General features: G+C 38.4%; 1 long non-coding RNA gene across 3 annotated transcripts in view; it reads right to left on the reverse strand.

Annotated features, from left to right (window-relative positions):
* LOC105377848 (uncharacterized) overlaps positions 1 to 18,250 on the reverse strand; it is a 35,578-nt gene that overhangs the window by 8,563 nt on the left and 8,765 nt on the right. Inside the window, exon 1 of one of the 3 annotated variants that reach the window (XR_942671.2) lies at positions 585 to 825. The exons of the other annotated variants lie outside the window; for them this stretch is intronic. This is a non-coding gene — a long non-coding RNA (uncharacterized LOC105377848). Of the gene's footprint in view, positions 1 to 584; positions 826 to 18,250 lie in introns of those variants that run through there. 3 annotated transcript variants of the gene reach the window in all.

The following is an 18,250-nucleotide window of genomic DNA, read 5'->3' on the forward strand; positions in this document are numbered from 1 at the left end:
CTACTCTCACTGTCAAACTTCTGATCAGATGCATTTATAATGACTAAAGATAGAGCCTTTTTTTTTTTCACTTGAGCTTCTTTGCTGCCTAGACTTACCTTCCTTGTGTTCATTAGTCAAACCAGAAAGGCCTTTCTGGACTGTTAGGCTGCTAAGAGAGGTTGCTCAGTCCTCTCAGCCTCTATCCTATGGAATTACTCTGAAACTGAGGACCATAAACCCTACTGAATCCTTCCCAATTTCCTTTGGCTCCTAGGGACTATTTTTATTTCAGTTCCCACCTCCTTCCCTGTTCTTAGCCATGTCTTGGGAGATTTGTGGGATTCTGTGGTGGACAGAATAATGATCCCCCAAAGATTTTCACGCTCTAATCTCCAGAATCTGTGAATGTTTTATTACATGGCAAAAGAGACTTTGACTCTGTCAAAAAAAAAAAAAGAAAAAAGAAAACAAATACTGATTCTGTTACCAGGAATGAGGTACTGCTATAACAAATACCTAACCATGTGGAAATAGCTTATAATCAGGTGGTGGGTGGTGATACTAAAAACGTTTAGGAGCATGGTAGAAAAAGCCTAGATTACCTTGAATAGGTTATTAGTAGAAATGTGGACTTGAAGGATGCTCTGGTGATCTCTGAGAAGAAAATGAGGAACCCAATATTGGAGACTGAAGGAAGGAGAATCCTTGTTATATAGAAGCAGAAAGCTTATATATATTGTGTTCTGCAGTTATGCTGAAGGCAGACTTTGTAAGTGACAAATCTGGTCATTTAGCTGAGGAAATTTTCAAGCATCATGGTGAAGGTATGACCTGTTTTTTCTTGCAGCTTATAGTGAAATGAAAGATGAGAGAGAGAAATTGAGGGTGGACCTATTAAAAAGAAACCAATACTTGGTGATTTTATAAATTCTACACCTATTTAAATGGAAACAGACTAAAATTAAGAGATTCACTGTCAGGAAGTCATGTTATAAAAAAAGAGCCCAGGATGTGTCTGTAAAACCTTTTGGTAATACCTCAGAAAACTCAAAAGGTTGTAATATTTAGTTACACAAAAGACTACTTGAAGAGATCAAAAGTGTGACAGATCAATCTCCTTGGCCATCTCAACAGAAGCCATAAATAAAGATGGTATTATCTAGGAAAGATCTGTGTACAAGGTGAATCCCATGACATACATGGGAGACTCACAAAGTTCCTAAGAATATTAAGACAACAGAAATTCTGCCAGCTAGGACTGAAAGAGATAGAGAGTACAAAATTTTCAAAAACTGTCAGTCCATAAAAATTCTACCTGCAGAAAACAGACTGCTATGGTCTGAACATATGTGTCCCTTCAAAATTTATGTTAAAATCCTAATCCCCAAGGCAATAGTGTTAGGAGGTGGGACCTTTGTGGAGGGGGTTGGGTAATGAAGGCAGAGCCTTAATGAACGGGGTTAGTGTCCATATAAACGAGACCTCAGAGCCTGCCTTGCCCTTCCACCATGTGAGGATACAGCAAAAAGATGTCGTCCATAAGCAATAGCCCCTCACCAGACACTAAACCTGTGTATTGATCTTGGACTTCCCAGCCTCCAGAACTATAAGAAATAGATTTCTATTGTTTGTAAGTCACCCAGGATATGGTCTTTTTATTACAGCATCTGAATGGACTAAGACACAGACTGATAAAACTACCCTGTTGCGAACATGTGTTGCCTTTCCTAAACAAAAAAAGTGTGACTCACAGGGAAGAATCAAGAACCACAGAACATTTTTTTCTCCAGGCCTTGAAATCCAATGGAGTTTGCCCGGCTGGGTTTTTTAATTGCTTAGAACCAGTGATTCCTTTTATTCTCCCATCTTTCTCCCTTTTTGAATGTGAATATCTGTAAGTGTTATCCTGTGCCTATCCCACTGTTGTATGTTTGGAGCAGATAACTTTTTTTTTTTTTTTTTTTTAGTTTTACAGGTCCAAAGATTGAGAGGAACTGTGCTTCAGGGAAGATTATACCCAGATTCTACCTACATATAATTTAAATTATTTGGGTGATTAGATTTGGGGTTTTAGAGCTCATGGAATTTAGACGAGATTTTGAACTTAAATTGATGCTGTAATGGGATGAGAACTTTGGTGATTTTGGGATGAAATAAATGTATTTTGTGTATGAAATAGACATGAATCTTTAAGGGCCATAAGGTGGACTGTGGTAAGCAGAATAATTACCACCACCACCACCCTCTCCAAAGACTTCCATATCCTAATTTCCAGAAAAACAGTTAGTTTAGATTGTAAAAGGGAAGGGACTTTGCCAATGTGATTACAGTTATGGACATTAAAATAGGGATATAAGGCCGGGCGTGGTGGCTCATGCTTGTAATACCAGCACTTTGGGAGGCCAAGGTGGGCGGATCACCTGAGATCAGGAGTTTGAGACCAGCCTGGCCAACATGGTGAAACCCCATCTCTAGTAAAAATACAAAAAAAAAAAAAAAACTGGGCATGGTGGCAGGTGCCCGTAATCCCAGCTATTGGGAGGCTGAGGCAGGAGAATCTCTTGAACTGGGGAAGCAGAAGTTGCAGTGAGCTGAGATTGTACCATTGGAGTTTTGCTCTTGTCACTGAGGTTGGAGTGCAATGGTGCAAATGGTGCAATGGTGGTACCCAGAGCAGAAAAGCCAGCTGAGCCTACCAGACCTCTGACCTATATAATAGTGAAATACATTTAGTTATTTTAAATTGTTGCGTTTGTGACAATTTGTTACGGCAGCAATAAGCATCTAATACATATTCACATCCAGAGATTAAAATCATTTAAAGGAGTTGATCCTCACTGTCTAATAGTATAATAATAATAATCCCATACTTTCATGTAAATTATAATCAAAAGATCATTTTAAATGGCTTTGTCTTTCACAGAAGGAATTTCAAAAATTTATTTTGTGCTTATGCTGAAAGCTGGCATTCCCTCTATTATTTGCTGCTCCTTTTTAGAATAATCAATTCACAAATTTAAGATTTAAAATGTGCTTCTCCAAGATTGGCCAAATCACAAGACAGCAGTACTCTTATGAGTTTCTCCCTTGAGTCATAAGTGGTGAGTTCGTGTCCCAGAAGATCAAAATGGCGTACTGAAAAAGAGCTCTTGGCTAAATCAAAAGGCCTGAATTCTAGTCCTAACTCTGACATGAAAGAGCAAGGATGCCTCTTTGGAGGAAATTAATTAACCTCTATGGATCTCATTTTCTTCCTTTTTAGAATAAAGCAGTTGGAGATTCAGGGTGGCTTCCATGATGAAGTATTGTTTGTTTGAAATCTGAAGTCTTGGTAGCATTAATGAGACAATTAGGTGGAGAAGCAGTCCAGAAGACTCAGCAAACCCTGTTTTATATGCCACTTGCTACAACATTAGTCTCCCGATGAATTTAGTGACCAAAAACAGAGCAAAAATAAAGATCTATAAATAGGCCTAGAAGAATGTATGCCACTTGGCAGTGTTAACCTCTGAGGAGGGCTATAGGGAAGCTTTATGGAGTAGTGCTCAAGGGCATAGACTTTGTTACCAAACCTTCTAAATTTAAGTTTTGGCTCTGCCACTTCCCAGCTGTGTGTTTTCTCTACATCTCTCAGTTTCCTCATCTATAAAATGTATGTGTGCATGCACAATTGCTTAAGACAGATCTTGGCATAATATGCGCTCTATAAATTAGCATATACTATGTAAATATTTGTCAATGTTATTGCTACTGGCAGAATTGTGTCCCCCAAAACTTCATATGCTGAAGCCATTAATGTGATGTTATTTGGAGATATGGCCTTTGGGAGGTGATTAGGTTTAAATGAGTTCATGATTGTGGGACCCTCATGGTGCAATTAGTGTCCTTATGAGAAGAGAGATCTTGTCATCTCTGTCCACCATGTGAGAACACAGTGAGAAGGCAGCTGGCCATCTACAAGGGAGAAAGAGAGCCCTTGACAGAACCTGACTATGCTGGCACCCTAATCTCAGACTTTTAGCCCCTAGAATTGTGAAAAAAATGTATTTCTATTATTTAAGCCATTCAGTCTATGGTATTTTGTTATGGCCAAGTATAATTACTAATAAAATTATTAAGGAAAAAATTAGTTTTTGTTCTGTAGCTGCTGTTCTATTTAACTTTTTACATTGAGACTATATTAATGAATTCTTTTACAATTTAAAATAAAGAAAACCAAGTGAAAAAAAACACAAAAAGTCCATAATTCATTTGGAGTGATACCTTCCTTCAATTATCTCTTAAACTTCAGAGTGGGACCAATTGCAGGTTGAATGAGCCATCAATGAAAGACATCAATAGACTGTTTCGTCAAACTCACTCCCAGTTTGTAAGGTGTCTCATTGATTCACTTGTCAACTTTAAAGTGATGCAATTGTTGCCATTGCTTTTGGAGTTTTAGACATGAAGTCCTTGCCCATGCCTATGTCCTGAATGGTATTACCTAGGTTTTCTTCTGGGCTTTTTATGGTTTTAGGTCTAACATTTAAGTCTTTAATCCACTTGAATTAATTTTTGAATAAGGTGTAAGGAAGGGATCCAGTTTCAGCTTTCTACATATGGCTAGCCTGTTTTCCCAGCACCATTTATTAAATAGGGAATCCTTTCCCCATTTCTTGTTTTTGTCAGGTTTGTCAAAGATCAGATGGCTGTAGATGTGTGGTATTATTTCTGAGGGCTCTGTTCTGTTCCATTGGTCTATATCTCTGTTTTGGTACCAGTACCATGCTGTTTTGGTTACTGTAGCCTTGTAGTATAGTTTGAAGTCGGGTAGCATAATGCCTCCAGCTTTATTCTTTTTGCTTAGGATTGTCTTGGCAATGTGGGCTCTTTTTTTGTTCCATATGAACTTTAAAGTAGTTTTTTCCAATTCTGTGAAGAAAGTCATTGGTAGCTTGATGGGGATAGCACTGAATCTATAAATTACCTCGGTCAGTATGGCCATTTTCATGATATTGATTCTTCCTATCCATGAGCATGGAATGTTCTTCCATTCATTGTGTCCTCTTTTATTTCATTGAGTAGTGGTTTGTAGTTCTCCTTGAAGAGGTCCTTCACATCCCTTGTAAGTTGGATTCCTAGGTATTTTATTCTCTTTGAAGCAATTGTGAATGGGAGTTCACTCATCATTTGGCTCTCTGTTTGTCTGATATTGGTGTATAAGAATGCTTGTGATTTTTGCACATTGATTTTGTATCCTGAGACTTTGCTGAAGTTGATTATCAGCTTAAGGAGATTTTGGGCTGAGACGATGGGGTTTTCTAAATACACAGTCATGTCATCTGCAAACAGAGACAATTTGACTTCCTCTTTTCCTAATTGAATACCCTTTATTTCTTTCTTTTGTCTGATTGCCCTGGCCAGAACTTCCAACACTATGTTGAATAAGAGTGGTGAGAGAGGGCATCCCTGTCTTGTGCCAGTTTTCAAAGGGAATGCTTCCAGTTTTTGCCCATTCAGTATGATATTGGCTGTGGGTTTGTCATAAATAGCTCTTATTATTTTGAGATACGTCCCATCAATACCTAATTTGTTCAGAATTTTTAGCATGAAGGGCTGTTGAATTTTGTCAAAGGCCTTTTCTGCATCTATTGAGATAATCATGTGATTTTTATCTTTGGTTCTGTTTATATGCTGGATTACATTTATTGATTTGTGTATGTTGAACCAGCCTTGCATCCCAGGGATGAAGCCCACTTGATCATGGTGGATAAGCTTTTTGATGTACTTCTGGATTTGGTTTGCCAGTATTTTATTGAGGATTTTTGCATCAATGTTCATCAGGGATATAGGCCTAAAATTCTCTTTTTTGGTTGTGTCTCTGCCAGGCTTTGGCATCAGGATGATGTTGGCCTCATAAAATGAGTTAGGGAGGATTCCCTCTGTTTCTATTGATTGGAATAGTTTCAGAAGGAATAGAACCAGCTTCTCCTTGTACCTCTAGTAAAAACAATGGCAACAAAAGCCAAAATTGACAAATGGGATCTAATTCAATGAAAGAGCTTCTGCACAGCAAAAGAAACTGCCATCAGAGTGAACAGGCAACCTACAGAATGGGAGAAAATTTTTGCAACCTACTCATCTGACAAAGGGCTAATATCCAGAATCTACAAAGAACTCAAACAAATTTACAAGAAAAAAACAAACAACCCCTCAAAAAGTGGACGAAGGATATGAACAGACACTTCTCAAAAGAAGACATTTATGCAGCCAACAGACACATGAAAAAATGCTCATTATCACTGGCCATCAGAGAAATGCAACTCAAAACCACAGTGAGATACCATCTCACACCAGTTAGAATGGCGATCATTAAAAAGTCAGGAAACAGCAGGTGCTGGAGAGGATGTGGAGAAATAGGAACACTTTTACACTGTTGGTGGGACTGTAAACTGGTTCAACCATTGTGGAAGACAGTGTGGCAATTCTTCAGGGATCTAGAACTAGGAATACCATTTGACCCAGCCATCCCTTTACTGGATATACACCCAAAGGATTATAAATCATGCTGCTATAGAGACACATGCACGTGTATGTTTATTGTGGCACTATTCACAATAGCAAAGACTTGGAACCAACCCAAATGTCCATCAATGATAGACTGGATTAAGAAAATGTGGCACATAGACACCATGGAATACTATGCAGCCATAAAAAATGATGAGTTCATGTCCTTTGTAGAGACCTGGATGAAGGTGGAAACCATCATTCTCAGCAAACTATCGCAAGGACAAAAAACCAAACACCGCATGTTCTCATTCATAGGTGGGAATTGAACAGTGAGAGCATTTGGACACAGGAAGGGGAACATCACACACCAGGGCCTGTCGTGGGATGGGGGGAGCGGGGAGGGAAAGCATTAGGAGATATACATAATGTAAATGACAAGTTAATGGCTGCAGCACACCAACATGACACATGTATACATATGTAACAAACCTGCACGTTGTGCACATGTACCTTAGAACTTAAAGTATAATAAAAAAAAAAAAAGAAAAAGAAAAAAAAAAGTTGGACAGAGGCACTAATCACAGTACTTAGGGATTTGTATGGAAACAGTTTACAGATTTTCTGACAACCTTGTCTTTCAATTCAGATGAAAGAAGCACTATTGTTTGGTCATGAGGAAATTAAATAAAAAAGTTGTCACCAAAAATAAAAAATAAAAAAAATAAAGTGATGTAATTAACAAGTATTACAGTTAAAAGATCCTTTAGCACAGTATCAGAAATTCAAGAGAGTATTAAAAATGCTGCTCTTTTGATGACATTTAGATATATATAAAGTTCAGTAATTACTTCAAAGGATGACTTTATGAAAAGAAGAGTTCACAAAATTCAGACCTTGGAAATAATCTACGAAATTGCCAATACATTGACACTCCTTAGAGAAAATATTTAAAGCTGAGTTATAAGTTGCTAAATTAAATGTCTATTTTTAAAAGGACAGTTGTATGTATGCCTGTTATCAAGATATAACTTAAAATGTAATTAATGCTTTCTTGCAGCTTACAAGTTAGTGGTTAAAACAGATATTAATCAAATAAACAAATTAGTGCATAATTATAAACAATAATTTGGATTTTACTTTGTCTTTATCCTCTAAGCCACTTGTCTATAATACTTTCCATCAACTCGGTTAATAAAAAGGTGCACACACAATGGAGAAATTACAATATAAGGCACAAAGCACTGGCTTGAAAATCAGTTGATTCCTAGCTTTCCCACTAACCAAGTGAGCTTTCTGAGTTCTTTAAGCTCTGTAAGATTAGTTGGTGTCATATATATCCTTGTAGGGTTCTCTTACATTTAAAATCATATAAATAATTTTCCAAGCCAGACATTATTTTAGATCCCCAAAATTAGCTATTTCATAATAAATAAAGTCTGTGTCTTCCAGAGGGGAAAAGGGATTTTAAATGATTAATGTATAAAGAGTTTATACAAATGGCCGGACGCGGTGGCTCATGCCTGCAATCCCAGCACATTGGGAGGCTGAGGCAGGTGGATCACTTGAGGCCAGAAGTTTGAGACCAGCCTGGTCAACATGGTAAAATCCTGTATCTACTACAAATACAAAAAAATTAGCCAAGCATGGTGGTACACACCTGTAATCCTGGCTACTTGGGAGGCTGAGGCATGAGAATCACTTGAACCTGGGAGGCAGAGGTTGCAGTGAGCCAAGATCACACCACTGCAGTCCAGCCTGGGTGACAGAGTGAGGCCCTATCTCAAAAAAAAAAAAAAAAAAAGCAAACAAAAGAATTTACACGAATAATAAATAAGAAAGATTATAAGAATTTAATAGACTTAACTTTAAGAAATACATAATGAAGAATGTTCAGTATAATTAATAATGTACAATTTTAGTTGTAGCAGGAAGGATGGTTAAACTGGGATGTTGAAATCCTTTTCTCCAGCAATCTTTAAAAATCAAGTCGTTTCCCAAGAGTAGTGAGATGACTTAAGAAAGGAGAGAGTTGATATGAAGTATCAGGCACGTTTCTGCCCTCTGAACATTATCTGAGATACTGCCGTCATACCTGAAGTGTTTTTTTCCGTAAAGGAAGAGTTCTTTTTAATTGTCCACAGCCGTACATTATTAATCAAACTCTGTCTTTGAATCATAATTCATGCTCAAGCCCCTAGAAGTTAAAAGCGTGAATGAAAATTTATAAAAATTTGAAAACTTCACTCAGGAGGTCATTGAGAGTACATTAAAAGGCATTTAGTTTGTTTAGATGTAATGTATTTTATTATTAGGGCTGATTCACACTCACTGTAATACTCCAGGGGGATTAACCACATTAATCTAATTATGAGAGTTTCACAGCACTCTTAGCAGAAAGACATTCACCAAACTTCAATTATTTTTAGAAGCTCTATCTTTGAATGTGATTTAAAATGTGATTAAGTTCCCTTTTGTGTTATCTAAACTGAATAAAGGCATTGTTTAAGCTTATTCACAGACAAAAGAATAACTTTATTAATTTTTGTTTCCTCATACAGCTTAAATCTAACAATGAAAAATATATGCTTTTATTTATATCTAATTATATTTTTCATTATTCTGTAAACTAAATGCAGGTTTCATATTGGATTGTCTTGAACCCAATAAAGTACAAACATAAAATGGTTTTATTTTCTTCCCTTTCACTGCTTTCGGACTTACTTTGTCAAATCTCCCTTTCCTGACCCCTTACAACATCTTGGGTAGATCCCATAGCTTTCTGGTGACTTCGAATATTAAAAAAATCCAGTTAAGTCTAGGTCGGTTTAATATTTTAGATCTTATACAGTATTCAATTTATATTCATATCCTTGCTTTCCAGACCTCTAGTCAGCTGCATCGTGAAGGATGTGGAGGTACCCAGGCCACTGTGTGTTATTTCACTCTTTCAAAGAGGTAGTGAAGCAGGATATTTCCCTGGCCCCTTCATGGGACTCACAAAGGGGGTGCCTTGTTTCCTCAGCCTGCAGTTCTCAACTCCTCGCAGGAGGGAGCACGCAAGCGAATAAGGTGGGAAATTGTGTGCCCGGGCACTGGAACTAGCCAGCCACTTCAGTGCTGGCAGTGGCAAATTCCACTCACTTGGAGCCACTGCGCTCCACCCCTCGTGGGAAGGCGCATGCAGGTGAGCAGGTGCAGGAGCCAGGGCAAGCACTTTTGGGTGTGAGCAGGAGCAAAGTCTGTGCAGGCCCCAACAGCAACATCTGGGAGGGTACCTGTGACCCCTGAAGTCCCAGAGGGAGTGTTACAGTGCTCTTTTAGTGCTGCTGTCCACAGACAGCTTAAGTGTTAACAGCTCAGTGGACCCTCTACCTTTTGGTGTGAGGCAGCTGCCTTTTGCCAGAGAGGGCAAAGGGTCAGTGTGACAGCCTTTTGTATCTGCACTCGTGGTTCCTGAGTTCTTCTGTGGCGTCCAGGAGGAATGAGGTCACATGAACAAATTGAAGGATTGTAAATGTGGGAAATTTTATTGCCGATGGGCATGGCTGTCAGTGGGAAGGGGAGCTGAAAAGGGGACAGAGCTGGAAGGTAATCTTCTCCTGAAGTCCAGGAGTCTCCAACCAGATTCTTCTCCCAAGTTACACGGTCAAGCTGTCCCTCTGGAATCAAGCCGCTTCTCCCCGACATCCAGCTATAGTCTCTGATGTCCAGCTGCTTCTCCTCTCTCTGTCAGCTGGGTATGAGGTTTTTTATAAGCCCAGGATGGAGGGCAGGGCAGGCAATGAGTGGTTTTGGAAAAGGCAACATTCAAGTGGGAAAACAGGGATGTAAGTTCTCACTTCTGGCTGCGGTTTCAGGCTTTTCAGCTGGAGGGTGGGGCATTTGCCAGGGACCCGCCCTTTCTGCCTAGAATTTCTCTGCCTCCTGCCTCTATCGTTGTATCCATAGGAGCAGAAATATGATATTGAACAAATGGAAATAGTGGCTGAGACCAAAACCAGTAGTGTTCATCAAATTTCCATGTTCTCACCAATGGAATGTAGGGGAGATGAGGTGTCCCTTCTGGTATAGCAGTTAAAATCAAGTGTGACTTCTGCATGTTGACTCTCTCCTAAGGCTAGCTGATTAAACACAAAGCACTCAACTCCAACATGGCAGTGTTAAGCTGGATGCAGCCTGGCCCCTGGGTTGCCGCTGGAAGGGAAGTGGTGTAGGAGAGCTACCAGGCCAGCCTGCAACAGACTGCAATGTAAAGGGAGATATGTCTCTGTTTCATTAAGCCATTGAGAGCTCAGCAGTTTTTTGTTATTATGACATAATCTAGCCTATTGTGATTAAGACAAAAATAGATCTGGAAGTGAGGCACAGGAGGCAAAGAATGGGCTACACTGGAGATATCTAAACAGAGAAAGGAAGAAGAGAGAATGATTGTATGAGAGAATAACAAGTTGTGTGAGCTTGCTTATAAATAGTTGAGAAGGAACCAGTAAAGAAAGAAACAGGCAATGCAAGAAACAGGGGAGCTAATAGACAGATCTGTTCTCATGAAGAGAAGTGAAAGGTTGAGATTAAGGACTCAAATGAAGAGATACATCTTAGAAGGTGTCTTTGCTCAGAGACAAGAGCAAAGGAAAGTGAAATGGGAGAAGAAACCAAAAAACAGAAGGGGGAAATGATTGAAAGTTGCAGAAAATGTAATAAGCCGCAAAAGGGACCATTTTTAGCCACCTTCTGACAGAAGTGTAATCAAAGCAATTTCCAAGTGACTGAGCTTATATTAATCTTCTCTCACACACTTAAATTTATTCGGCTTTATCCCTACAGGCCACATGTAATACCTATTCTTAATTTATGCTAAGCCTGATATCTTCTAAATCTTACATGTTTTTAATGCAGTACTAGACAGAGTTATTCATGCTCCATGCACACTAGCAATATCATAAATTCAGATTTGGAATTACTGAGGTATGAGAGAGCTTACCAACCTGAACTCAACAGAAGTCCAACAGCATTATGCATAGGTTTTACAGAAAGAGATTTTGTTTGAATTGAGCATCAAATAGAAGAAAAAGATACATAGCATTTGAAAAAAAAGGTTTTAAAAACAATTTACAGAAAAATATATTCTGCCTTATATTAAAGAGATGGGAAGAAAATAAGAAAAGGAGGGATAGAGGGAGGAAGGGAAAGTTACCAGTTTAAAATTTTTGTTAAGTTGTAAGATACACTTTCCTTCTACTTCTGCTCCCTCCCACTAAATTCCCAAACCCACAGTGACCAAGTCAGTGGACATGTAGCCATGCAAACTGACTGTTCCCAATAAATCCCTCAACAGATTTGGAAATATTAATTTATTTTATATGTGACAATATCACTCTTTAAAAACAGGTGGTGGGTTTTGTGTCAGTTATCTTATCAACAGATCAGACTTTAGCATCTTCAGGGATCTTATTTCAAGAGTACAGAATAATTATCTATTGGTTTTCATACAGTTAATAATCAAGCCCCTCTCTCCTTCCTTTCGAATATCTCATATCTGCCCACTTCTTTCACTCACACTGTCTCACACTCTATTCAAGCCCCACATCACCTTACACCCAGAATTCCTAGCTCTTTAGAGTTCCCAGCCCCTGTCTAAACTAAACACCTCCTTAAAGCATTATCTTCATCATGTCATTCCCAGATTTAAAAACTTGTAATGCCTCCTCAATGTGTATAACAGGGGATATTTACCTGGCGTTCACAAAAAGGTTTCCAGAGGACTTCTGAAAGCACTGAAATTCTGTGCAATCATTTGTGTGCTGTGAATTATTTTGCTGGTAAAAATATCTAGTTTCTTCAAATCCTTCTTGAGGTCCTACAAAAGGCTGACAATCATCCATCTTTAGGGCAAAAGTTAAGCTCAATGACCAGTATTCAAGAGGTGAGATCAAGCTTGCATTTCACTCTCGTCCCCTAAGTCAGGTCCTTAGGTGGGTAAGTTCTCCTCATCCTATACATTTATTTATTCATTCAACAAACATTCATTGAACACTTCTATGTTCCAGACATGATTATAGGCACTCAGGACACATAGATGAAAGAATAGCCTCCTCCCTAAGGTATTTCCAAACTCTTATAACAACTCCCCTGTCAAGCAGGTGGGAAACTAGGTCTATGGCTGTGCTTGATATTTCAGAAATTGGAGAAAGGTATCAGACTGGGATGAGAGAAAGGGTCCTGAGAGCTCAGGAACAAAATGTAACAAAAGTAACATCCACAGAGATCCTCTAACACATCAAGTCCAAAGGAGAGTGAAGAGCAGAGAAGTGAAAAATCAAGCAGAAACAGAATCCAAAGCTCAGCCAAACTAGAAAGAGCAAATGGATTCAAGAGGATAAAGAAGAGATGGGGCCTGTAGGAATTCTCTGGAGTGCCCATACATAGACCCAGATTCATTTCTACACAGTCTCCAATGGTGTCAGTTCAGTGGGAGAGAGCTGCCAGGACTCCAAGAAACAGCAGAGGGACATGAGACACTAAAGTCTGCTGAGAGAGTCCTGGAAGGCTTTACAATATGCTGGTCACATATAAGGTGACCCTTCAAAGAGGAGTAGGATTTTGTCAGATGGACAGAAGGGAGGGCAGGACATTCCATAAAAGGGAACGTTCAATGCAAAGGCCCAGAGTCTTAACATAGCATGTTTGGGAGAACAAAAAGTGATTTAGTATAAATGGAGGCTTGGAGCAAATTATTTAGAGATGATGACTGATACTCTCCCTAAGTATATAGATACTTGACAGTCCAAAAGAAAATTAGATATGTAATTCAGAATTTTAGAGCAGAAATAAGTGGAGTTTGCTAGACAAAGCCCCTCTAAGTAACTATGTCTTGGTGAAGATTTGTCTCACCCAAATTAACTAAGGGCAAAGTCAACACTAGATTTCTTGTCCACTAATCGACTTTGTTTGAAGTTGCCTGTGTGCCACACAGCCAGCTCTCACACCAGATTCAAACTGTTTGGCCTCATATTAGAAGTAGGGCCTTCAGGAACACACATACACACACAACATCCAATGACTATAAGGTCGGAGGGCAGGTGGGAAAATGGTAATTTTTCACTTCAATAGTTTATAATACTGAACATCTTTGAATGTTCTAATAAGAAAAAAACAAGAGAAGACATAAAAAGAATGAGGTAATACTATTATCTCTGCCAATGACAGAATAGGGGTCTAGCATTGTACTTGTTGCATAGCCAGTGGTGTGCTGGCAAATGTTTAACAGCCAGTATGCAGGGAAGGAATGGAACAGGGAGCTCATCTGTAGGGTTTTCCAGTTTCTATAGTGTAAGTATGCTTCTGTGGCTGATTTCAAGCTACCACTGTGGTATAATGGAGATGCTAACAATTGGTTCTCAGAAGTTAGTACAAGCTGGTTTAAGTGCACCACTGCTAGCAGAACTCAATAAGCATCCAGTAGATCCATCAACAACGAACCAACCACCACCTACAGGGCCTTCAACTTCCGCTGGCTTCAGTCAATGATTAAGCCACAGCTGCCCATTCCTGGCAGACAAAATGAAATAGTTAATCTATCTAGCTAAGAAGTGCTGCACTTCACAGAATATAAAGAGGCTAAACCCTCCTTTCCTAGCACTACGGCCCTCCTCTTCCCTACCTTAGCTCACCAGCATGGACTTGATCTTGGTCTAAATGATGCTGTTGTCCATCACACTTCCAGGAACAAGTATGACAAAAGCATTGGCCAGAACCAATGAAAAGATTCCTTTTGGAGTACTTAAGTCATTTAGCCTTGCTTGTGAAATTATTCTGAAATGAGGCAGGTGGAAGTTCAGCAGCAGTCATGCCAAAATCAAAGTCAAGTATGACATTCAGATATAATACTGAATGGGCTGGGCATGATGCCTCACACCTGTATTCTCAGCACTTTGGAAGGCGGAGGCAGACAGATCACTTGAGTTCAGGAGTGTGAGACCAGCCTGGACAACATGGTGAAACCCCATCTCTACTAAAAATACAAAAATTAGCTGGGCATGGTGGCAGGTGCCTATAATCCCAGCTACTTGGGAGCCTAGGCAGGAGAATCACTCCACCGGAGGTGGAGGTTGCAGTGAGCTGAGATCTCACCACTGCACTCGAGCCTGGGCAACAGAGTGAGACTCCATCTGAAATAAATAAATAAATTTTTCAAAAAGAGATAATACTGAATGATGAGAGGCGCCTATATGGAAGCCTGATGATATTCACAAGCAACCAATAGAAAGGCAGCAGTTTATTTGCCACTATTAACATCACTGATGGTGTTGCACCCTTAATATAGATGAATATGGATAAAAGTTCTGGAAAAAGTGCTAGTCTGCTTGCTTTCTTAGGACCTGAGCCATTCATCCCCCAGTCATGCTAAAGTGAGTATTTGAATGGTCTTTTAAAGAAAGGCTTTCTAGGGCTAGAAAACTGTGCTGGTAGCTTCCTCTGCAGGCCTTAACCACTTTATCAGCCCATCTGGCACTTCTATAACACTCACTGGGAGGCTTTCTGACTCTCCTAGCTTCAACCTAGCATTCTGATCTGCTGAATTGACTTTCTGATTCAACCGGGCCACCCTTCCAGCTCTCTGCTGCCCCCTTCTGTCGCCAAGCAGTAACGACTACGTTGGCCCCATCTTTTGGACAGGAATCTTGTACTCAAAACCAGTGACTTCTCTGTTCTTTCCCTTTTGGCCTCTGCATGTTTCTCTGAACTGTTAACAACTCTTCCTGCTTTGTACTCTGGTTTGGCTTCAAAGACAGCTGTCTCTCCTGGACTTTTTCACAACTTCTCAGTTAACATTTGTGAGTCCTTTCCTGAATTTCCTCTTTTTATCTCATTAATAAAGAACATATTCAAACAAACAATTCAAGGACATCTGCTTCTTTCCTTCTATACTCATTCCTAAGGGAAATTCTTCCCTTTACAGATTTTCAAACAACAGCCTCAATGGAAGTCACAGATTTCCATTACGAGAGCTAACATTTCATTTTCTCTATAGTCCTACATTTTTCACTTTTTTTTTTCACAGTCCTTATTTATACAGATTTCTGGGTTGGAGTTAGTTTAGCCAGCTGGTCTGGCCCTGGCATTCTAGCGACTAGACTATGATGTCTAGACCTCAAAAGGGCAAATTGTGTAGGTCTTTCTGAGAAAATTAGAATATTACTTCCCGTGTGGATGTCCAGGAAACTTCCACTGGAAATTTATCAAAACTGGGGAGATGATGATTAATCACATCCAAAGAATAAGCTAATATGTACACAAATGAGAGAAAAGTGAAAATAGGAACATTGTCTTGGTATGGACAAAGGGTTTGCTATGGCAGTCACCAGGCTAGTTTGTGTAGCCATGAGTTGAGGTTTCCTAACAAAACAAAGAGGTTCTTACCTCCAGAATGCTACTGGACCCACAAATATCAGGGACAGATTTGATGACTTCTTTAAGTTCCCTTCTTTAGGTTCTCACCTAGCAGTCTATAATTTTAGGATTGTGGAGAATATTAGCAATAATTAAACATGGCAGCCCTTAATCAATGGCATTTAGACAAGAAGATGATGCATTAAACATGCTGTTTTCACTGTCCTCCCCATCTTCACCCCTGTGCAGCCCTGTTAAGAATGAACACATTAATAATTTACAAACGCGCACATATGCTAATCTATTTTCTAAAGTGATGGAAAGATTCATAGTTTGCCAGTGTCCGTTCCAAACAGCATGATTTATTGAGGATTAAGGTTTAAGCTTATCCTCTCTAAATTCATCCTCAGTAATAAGATTTTGGTTCATTTGAATGTAAATGCTGCAGCTGAGTATCCAGAAGCTGCGTTTATTTAAATCCCTATCCAAGATATTACTGAACATGTTGCCTACATGTCTGACATAACTTTTTTGAAAGTAAGTTAACATTTACTCAGAAGTGAGCTGAGTCCACAATCAAATCACCTCATTTCTATTTTAAATAATTGTACTTTATTTCACCTTTAAACTTACCTTGGGTACGTTCCACTTTTATTTTTTAAAATAGTATTTTTCTGTCGCTGAATAAAACCAGCTGACCCAAAGCAACTTCTATGCTGACAATTTGATCAAAGTAGATCACTCTGAAGTAAGCATGACATATTCTGAGTAACGCAATATGCTTATTACAAAACAGCGTAAAAATGGCTTCATTACAATGTCAGTAGATAAAGACATTACTAATATTGGATTTTACATATTCTAAGGAAGGAATGGGACAGACTATTTTTGGCTTTGAATGTGACAGACATAATTTCATCAGTCATAAAAATAAACCCATGGTATGCAGATCTATCATTATATAAATGTGGAAAATTATACTCAAAGTTTAATTTAAAGCAGTGAATATAACCAATATTTGATATACATACATATCAGAATTTAAGATTGAACGTAGTTAATATTACTGGAAAAAAATAATAAATTATTCAATTATCTTCTGTTTACACTGCACCCAGAAATATTTTGTAAAATCTCGCCTGCTTCAATTGTAAGTGGTTAGAAACTAGCAATAAATTAGTAAGTCTTGAATTCCTAGGTTTTAAATTTCAGGCAGCCAAATTGAAAAAAATACAAGATTGATAAAGTCATAAAAACTTTATGTAAACACATAGTTCACTGCTTTGAATTAAAGAGTAAACATAAAGATTAGTCACTAATTTGCTGATGGTTCTTAACATTTCTTGGACATCTGCCAACATTTGTACATTTAAAGCTAGTAAAGAAACCAGAATTTCTTCAATCTTGCCACTAGATGGCATAGACTTGGAGACTCAGCCTTGGCTTAAAAGTAGTTTAAGCAAAACACAAAACACAGAATCTTTGTATGGTGGACATAGAGAAGAAAAGTTTGTATTAACTTGGGTCAAAGAGGATAAGAAGAAGAATAAATAAATAATATTTCCCTACATCATATTTAAGTTTTCCGTATGAAAGTTTAGAATACAAGAATTTTATAATTTGTCATACATGGGAACAGGGAAGAAAATTGGTGGTAAAAAATAAAATATATTCCTTGAAATTTATCCATTTTTAGCTATGAAAAAATTACCACAGGATAGGGAAGGATTAAAACCAGTGATTCCCCCTTTCCCCACTTTTGGAATGAACACAGGTAAATATATGCATGCAACTATTAGGAACAGATTAAAAATTAGTTGAATTTAAATTGAAAACATCTGGTGATCTATTGTGCAATTTAAATGCCTTAAATTTAGCTTTTTATTGATAAATATTCATGCTGATTTTCATTCCAAATAACATTTTTAACAGCTTTATTGAGATAAAATTTATATACCATAAAATCCAGCCATTCAAAGTGCACAATTCAGTGCTTGCTAGTATAGTCACAGGGTTGTACAACCATCACCATAATGTCAGGACATTTTTGTCCCCCTTGAAAGAATCCCTGTGTCTATTGGCTGTCATATCCATCCCCCTCCCTGTCCCACCTCATCAGCAACCTCTCATCTATTTGGTGTCTCTATGGACTTGCCTATTCTGGATATTTCATATAAATAGAATCATACAACATATGGTCTTTTGTGACTGATTTTGTTCATTTAGCATAATGTTTTCAAGATTTATCCGTATTTCAGTATGTATCAGAACTTCATTCCTTCTTAGGGCTGAAAATATTCCATTGTATAGATATCCCACATTTTCCTTATTCATTAATCAGTTGAACATTTGGATTGTTTCTACTTTTTGGCTATTATGAATCATACTA

This window comes from Homo sapiens, chromosome 6, assembly GCF_000001405.40.
Source record: "Homo sapiens chromosome 6, GRCh38.p14 Primary Assembly".
NCBI classification, from domain to species: domain Eukaryota; kingdom Metazoa; phylum Chordata; class Mammalia; order Primates; family Hominidae; genus Homo; species Homo sapiens.